General features: G+C 38.3%; 1 long non-coding RNA gene across 2 annotated transcripts in view, besides 1 other annotated feature; it reads right to left on the bottom strand.

Annotated features, from left to right (window-relative positions):
• LOC105377848 (uncharacterized) overlaps nucleotides 1–8,765 on the bottom strand; it is a 35,578-nt gene extending 26,813 nt beyond the window's left edge. For both annotated transcript variants that reach the window (XR_942670.2, XR_942673.1), the window contains exon 1: nucleotides 8,625–8,765. This is a non-coding gene — a long non-coding RNA (uncharacterized LOC105377848). The remainder of the gene's footprint in view (nucleotides 1–8,624) is intronic.
• Nucleotides 3,324–3,618: a silencer, noted in NCBI's record as "tiled region #4194; HepG2 Repressive non-DNase unmatched - State 13:Ctcf". NCBI's record gives its function as "represses a minimal TATA promoter and a strong SV40 promoter by Sharpr-MPRA in HepG2 cells {active_cell/tissue: HepG2}" and the evidence as "EXISTENCE:reporter gene assay evidence [ECO:0000049][PMID:27701403]".
• Nucleotides 8,766–11,405: the final 2,640 nt, after the last annotated feature.

Below are 11,405 nucleotides of genomic sequence, written 5' to 3' on the forward strand. Positions count from 1 at the left end.
CTATGAACACTGGTGTAGAGGTATCTGTTTGAATTTGTTTTCAAATTTTGGAGTACATACCTAGGAGTGGCATTGCTGGGTTATTGGTAATTCTGCTTAACTTTCACAACAGCTCCACCTTTTACATTCCCACCAGCAACGTACAAACATCTCAATTTATCTATATTTCTCCTTGGCAACATTTACTATTTCTGGGGTTTTTGTGTTTGCTTGTTTGTTTGTTTGTTTGTTTGTTTTGTATTGCCATCCTAGAGGGTGTGAAATGGTATTTCATTGTGGCTTGACTTGCACTTCCCTAATGCCTGATGATATAAACCATCTTTTCATGTGCTTACTGGTCATTTGTATATTTTCTTTAAAGAAATATCTATTCAAATCCTTTGCCTATTTGTAACTGGGTTGTTCGTCTTTTTTTATTGAGTTCTATGAGTTCTTTGTGTATTCTGAATATAAATCTCTTATCAGACACGTGGTTTCCAAATATTATTCCTGTGCTGTGGATTGTCTTTTCACTTTCTTAATGGCATCCTCTGTAGGGCAAACTTTTAAAAAAATTGTACATAGTTTAATTCACCATTTTTTTGGTCACCTTTGCTTTTGGTGTCGTATCTAAGAAACTATTGTCTAACACAAAGTCACTAAGATTTACTCCTATGTTTTCTTATAAGAGTTTGATTGCTCTTACATGAGATTTATGATCCATTTTGAGTTAACTATGTACCTCACATACAGTGTGAGGTAGAGCTCCAACTTCATTCTTTTGCATTTGGATATAGAGGTGTCTCACCATTATTTGTTGAAAAGACTATTATTGCCCGATTACTGAATTGTTTTGGTCCAAGTAACATTTTGTATCTTAAATAATTTGCATCGTTTGAAAGTAAAATTAAGAAGTATTATACCAGATGCTTTACTGAGGCTCAAACATTCAAAGGTTATACATTTCAAATAAGTTTGTGATTTCAACACAACTCTATGCCTAGCATCAGTAGATATGCAATAAAATGTTGATAAATGAATAAACATACAAACCTGTTTAATTTTTGTTTTCAAAAATCAAGTTATGTATCTCCACCTTCATTTTGCTTCATATATTTTATTTACAAACTACAAAATTCTGAGATTTCATAATACAGGACACTAGTAAATTTACTAAATGCTTGTTGATGTCTATTTGCTTCTTGATAAAAGTTGTTAATGTAAGAAAACTTGTTTAGAAGACTACATATATTGAAAAAGCATCTGGCTAAGTGGTCCAATTTACCTGGAACCTTTTTTTTTTTAAACATTTCTCATCAGTGCTGTCTCTCAAACTAACCAATCTGCTGGTAGCAACCACACATGATATACAAAATGCATCATCAACTTACCTAAGAAAAGTTAGTAATTACTTAAGAAAAGTACTATACAATGTGAGGATCATAACAATTAACACCAATTATTGAACATTGTACAGGTACTTTATGTCTGGTTAAGCTAATGGCCTAGAGTGGCAAAATTAGTATGCTGTGGAACCTGTGCTGAAACCCAGATCTGACTCCAAAAACAATGTTGCTGGCCTCTTTATTGTGTCATCCGAAGACAGTATGGATTGTGTTAAATTCCCCTATGAAGACCTAACACAGGTGTCTCTAGATAAGTAGACAGGATTTGTATTTATAATGGTAACACTGAGGAGGTTCAGGGGCGCATAAGATCCCCCATTTCAAAATGTGTTCCCCACCCAATATATTACTACAAATGTACACACAACTGTAAACAGCATAACAGAATGTGAAGCATGACAGCATTCATCATTTGTTCTTTTATTCATTCATTCAGCAAATATTTAGAGTGCTGGTTATGAACTAGACATTATCCTAGGCATTGGAGATTCATCAATAAACAAGACAATGTTCTTGCAATCATGGACCTTCTTGAGAGTGAATAGACTGAGATAAGAAATACAGGTATCTAAAAATAGAATAAGATCATTTTTGGTGGTGAAAAAGCTATGAAGAAAATTCAAAAGGATGATTAAATAAAGAGTTATGAGAGGGGAAGGGCTACTTTGGCTCAGAGAGTCAGCAAAGGTCTCTGTGAAAGTAATATTTGGACCCATACCAAAAACATGAAAAGGAGTGAGCTATGTGAAGATCTGGGAAAAAGGAGTTCTAGGTAGAGGGAACAGCAAGTGAAAACACATGGAGGTGAGAATGAGCCTAGCTGTTGGAGGAAGAGATAGAGATAGGTGATGGAACATAGTAGATGAGGGTGAGAGTGGTGGAGATGAAGTCTGGACAATAGGCTTCACATAAGCTCTTGTCCATCACAATAAGGAGTTTGGTTATTAATCTAATCATTTTGGGTAAACATTAGAGAATTTTAAGCAAAAAATAATATTGCCAGTGAATATGGTGAGAAGTAATTCAAGATATATTTTACAGGTAGAACCAGGAGAGCTTGTTGAAGTATCATATATACAGGTGAGAAAGAGAAAGAGTTAGATTCATGAAGCCAGGTACTTACACTGTAAAACATAATTCATACTTCTATTTTTGCAAAATAGAAATTGCAAATTTCCTAACATTATTGAAATTAAAAGAAAAACTGTGCTTCCTCTCTTCCTCGTCTTCTGCATCTCATCCCCACAGAGAATTGTATCATCATCACATCAGTTTCTGCATTCCAATAATTTTAGTCACACCATGCCTGTGCTGTGAATGACACATAGTTTATTGTACCAATGTGCTATGCACAGGAGGAAAGACAGAGTTATTCTTTCCAAGAAAACAAAAATCAACTATCTTGCCATATTCACCAAAGTGCTTTTCCCTTAAATAATTGAGTGTGTCCCTAGTGGTAAACGCGTCTGGGATTACTTGCCCCATCCATAGCCCCTTCTCTGAAAACTACTGATAAGGTTTGGCTCTGTGTCCCATCCCCCACAACTCACTTTGGATTGTAATAATCCCCACGTGTGATGGGAGAGACCCGGTGGGAGGTAATTGTATCTTGGGGGCGAGTTTTTCCCATGCTGTTCTCGTGATAGTGAATAAGTCTCATGAGATCTGATGGTTTTATAAAGGGGAGTTCCCCTACAGAAGCTCTCTTGTCTGCCAGCATGTAAGACGTCCCTTTCCTCTTCCTTTGTCTTCCACCATGATTGTGAGGCCTCCCCAGCCATGTGGAACTGTGAGTCCATTAAACCTCTTTCCTTTATAAATTACGTGGTCTCGGGTATGTCTTTATTAGCAACATGAGAAGAGATTAATACAACTACCTTTACCTATAATCTCACCCAAGGAACCAGCCCAGACATCCATGTTTGTACCATGTAATTTCATTCCCTACCCCCAACACATACGCGATTGGATCAGGATTGCCGGCTAGTTTATTAGTAGATAAAAGCGTTGATAAAGCAAAGACAAAGAGAGCCCACTAGTGTTAGGTTCTGGAACTGACAAGTCACGGAGAGAGAACTTGAAACCATACCAAGGTGAGACAAAGCCAAGTACATGCTGCAGTTATGGGGAAAAGAAACTGTAGCGGGTCAGGAGACGGGAAAGACCAGACCGGTATAAAGACAGATAGTGGAAGACCAAAACATAGAAACAAGAGAGCATGCAGACTTAGAATTCAACAATCTAATGGTTTGGGTGGGTGTTTTGCAACCAGAAGTCCTGGCTGAAACAATCCCCTACTCCATTCAACATATACAAATACCTGACTTTAACTCAACTTTTATTAGGAAAAAATCTAAAGCCTGGCTATAGTGGGCCATTGGTGGATATTTTTGACCAACTGACCTATCTTCCATTCAATGAAACAAGATTCTGTCTCAGAGTATGGATCTTCCAAGATAGCTCGAGATCGTCAAGATCATTAAACCCTCTGTGACTCATGGAAAGGGAAGGAGTTTAAAAATTTTATCTCCTCTTTCCAAAAATCCCTAACTGGTATTCCATGACACTTAAAAAAACTTTCATGATTGAAACTACAACAAAAGGCTTTTTTTTCTGGCCAATATTGCATGTACTATCACTAATTTTCTAGCTGAGATTAGAATATGTATAGTGATAAGATGAAGTATATGAAAGTTACATTATCATATTGTGCTATATTGTAGAACCAAAACAAAAAGAAATTGTGAAGGTCTGTCACTGGAAATGTGTGAGAACCTGATAAGAAAAAGGGAGTCTGGAATGTGACAAAATCCATGGATAAATATAACTAAGTGTAGCAAAACTCGAACAATAGATATTCTGGGCACTAAAAGATCTAAAATAGAAACAAGGACAAAATGATATATTTTTAACTGTATATTCACACACATACTGTATTCCTATGTAGGTATGCCCTATACATATGTGTATATGAATACATGAAGAAAAGGCCAGGGGAAGACACACCAGCTGATAATAACTGTGATTACCTCTGGAAAAGCTACATGAGTGGTCAACAGGGACTTGGGCTTCATCTATAATGTCTGACTTTTTTTTACATGAAATACTTACATCATTAAACATACTTTTTAATTATTTAGAAAAATATTGAACAAACAAGAATGAAAAAAGAAAAAGCTGCATAAGAAACTGTGCTAATGTGAAAATAGTTGCAAAATATAGGGATGTGGTGTTACCCAGTTTGCCAACCTGTGAACCTATGGAAGTCATGGCTAAAAGTTTACAAATTCATGCTACCAGATTCTGACACAAAACTTTAACGAGTCTTTACCATCAGCTGTTTTATTGAAATGAGAAGAAATAAGATTTATCTACATACTGCCCAATGGCATAATTAGATAATTCTAGATTCCCTTAGAGTTCAGTTCTCAACAAAAGATGAACAGTCCTGGGCTCTTTCTCAACCAACCTTGATAAAATCTGAAAAGCTGTCCCTGTCAGGAAAGCTGGTAACAGATTAGCTGAAGCAGTAGTGCTGATAAGGAGCTTCAAACCCTTAAAGTCTGAGGTGCCTCTATTGCAAAAAATTAGCTGTGGACAAATAGGAAACAACAAATAACAGGCGACCTGTTCTTTTTTTTTTTTTTTTTTAATTATACTTTAAGTTTTAGGGTACGTGTGCACAATGTGCAGGTTAGTTACATATGTATACATGTGCCATGTTGGTGTGCTGCACCCATTAACTCGTCATTTAGCATTAGGTATATCTCCTAAAGCTATCCCTCCCCCCTCCCCCCACCCCTCAACAGTCCCCAGAGTGTGATGTTCCCCTTCCTGTGTCCATGTGTTCTCATTGTTCAGTTCCCACCTATGAGTGAGAATATGCGGTGTTTGGTTTTTTGTTCTTGCGATAGTTTACTGAGAATGATGATTTCCAATTTCATCCATGTCCCTACAAAGGACATGAACTCATCATTTTTTATGGCTGCATAGTATTCCATGGTGTATATGTGGACAGGCGACCTGTTCTAAGAATTGCTGTTAAGGCACAACCTAAGATTGATATATCAAATAGTTGTCCCTCTCGTCATTTCTTAATCACCCCATTCAAAGCACCCTAAGTTATACAACACATAACTGAAATTTCTAACATTGAACCAAAAACCACCCCAACCATTTATCAGAATGCTAATCACACTTTTAAAACATTACTTTCAAAAAAGAAAAATTAAAGGAAAGAAACAGAATGAGAAATTCACTTGCTTGTGTGCTAGATATTTTAAACCTTTTCAAAATCATGACCTAACCTAAAATGTTCTAGAAGCACAAAGTAAAATCATATTTATATCCATGTGCCTTACAGACATCCTCCTTACCTCATTGAAGGTATTCTGAAGGAAAATTTGAGAGATCATTTTGGTACTAAAATGAAAGGTCCCTCTTTAAAAATGTATATAGAATGTTAGGAAAATATTCAAAATGTCTAGGAGAAAGACTAGAAGAGAGATTTCCCTTGGAGTATTTTTCTTCTGTTTTTGAAAGGAAAAACACAAATAAATTAGTGAAGATATCAATTTAAAAGCACTCATATTCCCCGCTTTTCTGTGCACATTACTGAATACTGTAAATAGGGTGTATGAACTTCCAATTGATTTTCCACAAATAACTACAGATTTGCACACATTTATTCATTCTTTTACAGTGCCCTGTGGGTCCAATACATTCATTTGCACAGTGGCTAGAGACAGTCTAGGAGAGATGCTGCAGGCCCCAAAGCAAGTGGGGCTAACTGGACTATGTGAGAATTGAACCCATGACCTTGGCCTCCACTAGGCTATAATCAAAAGAGTTAATAACCGACCAACAACTGCTCAGATAACGGCAATTTCCAAGCATAACAATAAGAAGAACAGTACTTCAGAAAATAAAATTTTAAGTATGCTGTTGAAAACCTGGATAGCAAATAGTGGAGCAAAAAATAAATACCTGCTTTCTAGTCAAGTCCAAAATACTTTCTTATTGTTGTTGTTGTTAAATCTCAGATAACTTTTGGTGAAATAATTTTGAATGTATATTTTATTTCTTCTTCTTCTTTGTTTTTTGTTTGTTTGTTTGTTTGTTTGTTTTGAGACAGTTTCCCTCAGTTGCCCAGGCTGCAGTGCAGTGGCGCGATCTCGGCTTATCACAACCTCCACCTCCAATGCTCAAGCGATTCTCCTACCTCAGCCTCCCGAGTAGCTGGGATTATGGGCATGCACCACTATACCCAGCTAATCTGTGTATTTTTGGTAGAGACAGGGTTTCATCATTTTGCCAAGACTAGTCTCAAACTCCTGGCCTCAAGTCATTCTCCCAGCTCAGCCTCCCAAAGTGCTGGGATTACAGGCATGAGCCATCACACCTGGCCTCAAATGTATATTTTTAACCTAAAGTGTTTCTTATGTGTAGTTAAACAAGTCTTTATCCATTCAAAAAATATATGAGACTGTTAAGAGTTCATCGCTATGGGAACAATAATAAGCTATTGATGAGAAAGGACTGAGTAATAAGCTAAAGTAGAAACAAGTTAGTAATCCATTAACTTGTAAGTTAGTTACTAGCTTCTGTACGTGTATCTGCTACAGAAAAAACAAAAGCAACCACAATGTTCAACACAAGCTACCAGCAACGTTCAGCTCCATAAACAGCTCTCCATAGGTCCCAGATGAAGAGAAGGGCCAGACAAACCGAAAGTGAGGAACTGTAATGGTTAATTTTATGGGCTGACTGGGCTAGGCCAAAGTACCCAGTACTTGGTCAAACATCAATCTAGAGTCTCCTGTGAAGGTATTTTATGGATGTTATTATTATGTAAACAGTAGATTTAGAATAAAGCAGATCATCCCTCATAATGTGTGTGGGCCTACTCTGCTTAGGTGAAGGCCTTAAAAGAAAACAGACTGAGTATCTACGGAGGAAGAAAGGATTTTGCCTGTAGCCTACTTTCATTCTCAAACTGCAGCATGAACTCTTCCCTGGGACTGTAGGAGGGCAGAGGTGGACTAAGGGGGACCTGTCAGATGCTGTACTTCAGGAAAGAAATGATAGTGACCCTAGTCATTAGGTGGTAGACATGCAATTCCATCAATACATGGGTGGGAGAATTCCAAATTGGAGCTGCATCTCTTTGGAAATACTGGGTCCTGAAGGCTGCCGCTGATTATACCATAGAACGATGACCAAGCCTTATGCATGGATCCAGCTAAGTATTCTTACAAGTTCCTGAGGCGGGCAGGCAGGAAAATCAACCAGCTACTTTGCAATTACCGTAACTATATTTATAATTATGGTCATGTGCCACATAACAATGTTACAGTCAATGGCCAACTGTATATATGACTGTGGCCCCATGAGATTATAATGGACCTGAAAAACTATCACTCAGTGATGTCATAGTGAAACTGCCTTTGCAAGATTGTAACTGAGGAGATTATGACAGTGAAAGAGATCAGACCTAACCGACTCTATCTTGCTTCTAACCCCTAAGCTGTCCTTGTTTATTCCTGAGCAAGGAACTTTGGGAAGGAATTCAGTTCATGGTTTGACTCTGAAACAACATTGATAACAGCCCTTTCCTGAAAAGACCCCCTTCTTGCCTGGGGTCCAGTCTGCCTTTGCAGGACTACCAAATTACCTACAAGATTGGAAATTGCAGTTTGGGGGTCACGCAGCCTCTGGGTCCAAGAGTCTGAACCTCCCCAGGGGGTCACACAGCCTCTGGCTCCAAGAGTCTGAACCTCCCCAAATTGCTCCTGGGGATATCGTCAATATTGTAAAACCTAAGATCAGGGCTTGAGATATGTTGCAGACCCTGCACTCGATGGATCAGCTGACACCACCCACACCAGTAATCTGGGCCAACCAGTTCTGCCATCTCACCCAGAACAGAAGACATTTAAAAAACCTAACTTCAACCCCCTATGATTCCATTTCCAACCTGACCAATCAGCACTCCCCACTTCCCAAGGCCCTACCCGTCAAATTAGCTTTAAAAACTCTGATCCCTGAATGTTTGGGGAGACTGATTTGAATAATAATAAAACTCCAGTCCCCTGCACAGCAGCTCTGCATGAATTACTCTTTCTCCATTGCAAATTCCTTGTCTCGATAAATCAGTTCTGTCTAGGCAGCAGGCAAGGCGAACCCACTGGGCGGTTACAATAGCCATTGTGAAATTGTAGTGCGTAACACATTACTTACAAGTTTGTGATGATGCTGGTATAAACAAATCTTGGTGCTGCCAGTCTTACAAAAGCATAACATTATGGCCGGTCGCGGTGGCTCACACCTGTAATCCCAGAACTTTGGGAGGCTGAGGCAGGTGGATCGCCTGAAGTTAGGAGTTTGAGAACAGCCTGGCCAACATGGTGAAACCTGGTCTCTACTAAAAAAGAAAAAAATACAAAAGAATTAGCCAGACGTGGTGGCGTGCACTGCTGTCCTAGCTACTCAGGAGGCTGAGGCAAGAGAATTATTTGAACCCAGGTGGCGGAGGTTGGCAGTGAGCCAAAATCATGCCACCACACTCCAGCCTGGGTGACAGAGCCAGACTCCATCTCTTAAAAAAAAAAAAAAAAAAAAGCATAACACATGCAATTATGTGCAGTATAACTGTGTTACTAGTTTATGTATTTCCTACACTACGCTTTTTACTGTTATTTTAAAGTGTACTCCATTTACATATATATATATTTTTTAAAGTTTATGTACCACCAGGGATGAGGTTAAAACAAAATGTTAACTATAAAACAACGTCAGTCAGGTCCTTCAGGAGGTATCCCAGAAGAAGACATTGTTACCATAGGAGATGACAGTTCCATGCACACTATTGTCCCTGAAGACCTTATGGGACAGGATGTGGAGGTGAAAGACAGTGATATTGATGATCCTGACCCTGTGTAGGCCCCAGTTAATGTGTGTCTCTGTGTCTTCATTTTTAATTTTAAAAAAGTTTAAAAAGTAAAAAATCAAAAAAAGTTAAAATAGAAAAAAGTTTATAGGATAAGGATATAAAAAATGTTTTTGTACAGCTATATAATGTGTTTGTGTTTAAGCTAAGGATTATTACAAAAGAGTCAAAAAGTTTAAAAATTAAAAAGTTTATAAAGCAATAAAATTATAGTAAGCTAAGGTTAACTTATTATTGAAAAAAGAAAAAATTTTAAATAAATTTGTGTAGCCTAAGTGTACAGTGTTTATAAAGTCTACAGTAGTAAGCAGTAATGTCCTAGATCTTCACATTCATTCACCATTCACCCACTCAATCCCCCACAGCAACTGCCAGTCCTGCATGCTCCATTCATGGTAAGTGCCCTATATAGGTGTACTTTTTTTTATCTTTTTTTTTTCCCCCCCAGAGTCTCATTCTGTCACCCAGGTTGGAGTAGTGTGCAGTGGTGCGATCTTGGCTCACTGCAACCTCCACCTCTTTGGCTCAAGTGATTCTCCTGCCACAGTCTCCCAAGTAGCTGAGATTACAGGCACCTGCCACAACACCTGGCTAAGTTTTCTATTTTTAGTAGAGATGGGGTTTCACTACATTGGCCAGGCTGGTCTCAAACTCCTGACCTCAAGTGATCCTCCTGCCTTGGCCTCCCAAAGTGCTGGGATTACAGGTGTGAGCCATCATGCCTGGCCCATTTTTTATCTTTTATACCTTATTTGTATTATACTTTTTCTACATTTACATATGTTTAGATGCACAATTACTTACCATTGTGTTACAATTGCTTACAGTATTCAGTAGAGTAACATACTATACAGGTTTGTAGCCTACAAGCAATAGACTATACCTGTAGCCTAGGCCTATAGTAGGCTATACCATCTAGGTTTGTGTAGGTACACTCTATGATGTTCACACAAGTAAGTCACCTAACAAATGCATTTCTCACAATGTACTCCTGTCGTTAAGTGACGCATGACTGTACAGCTAAATAAACCTGAGAAGTTCTGGTTTCATGACTATAAGGAGAGAATGTGGTACCAGAGGGACACAGTTTGCTCTGCATTCTAGAAAAAGGGAGCAATGACTTTTCTAGTCTATCTCTAGAATTATCCCCAATAGACAAAATCCTAGCTATGTTTTCATAGTCTGCCTCCTTGACATATACCTTCTTACAACACTGATGAATGATGAGGCTTTCGTGGCTTGGTGGGCCATGAGGATCATCCAACTTAGTCCTCTTATGCCGATCTATGCCCAATTAATAACTTAAGTGTAATGTCACTTCCCATGGAGATTTTCCTGTAAGAAGCAAGTTCCCATAGTAGCAACCATAAACATTTTTTCTTCTTTTTTAAAATTTTGAGGTATGGGCATGGTGGCTTATACCTGTAATCCTACCACTTTGGGGGCTGAACGAGGAGGATCACTTGAGCCCAAAAGTTTGAGACCAGCTTGGGCAGTATAGGGAGATTTTTGTCTCTACAAAAAATTTAAAAATTAGCCAGGCATGATGACACAAGCCTGTAGTCCCATCTACTCAGGAGGCTGAAGCAGGGGGATCGCTTGAGCTCAGGAAGTCAAAGCTGCAGTGAGCCATGTTCACACCACTGCACTCCAGCCTGGGTGACAGAGCAAGACCTTGTCTCAAAAAAATTTTTAGAATAAATTTTATTGTGCATATTTAAGGTATACAGCATGATGTTATGAGATACATATGTACAGTAAAATGGTTACTATAGTGAAACAAATTAACATATCCATCATCTCACATAGTTATCCACCTTTCCCTCCTGTGGCAAGAGCAGCTATAATCTACTCATTTAGCAAAAATATTGAATACAATGCACCATTATTTAATATAGTCCTCATGCTATATATTAGACCTTTAGACTTGGTCAGCCTACATATCTGCTACTATCTATGAAGAACTTTAAACCTGCGTCTCCCAATTTTCTCCCCTCCACCTGAGCCTCGTAGCCACTGTTTTAGTTTCAATCTCCATTTATTTGACCTTTTTTTTTTTAAGATTCCACATA

This window comes from Homo sapiens, chromosome 6 (genome assembly GCF_000001405.40).
Source record: "Homo sapiens chromosome 6, GRCh38.p14 Primary Assembly".
NCBI lineage: Eukaryota > Metazoa > Chordata > Mammalia > Primates > Hominidae > Homo > Homo sapiens.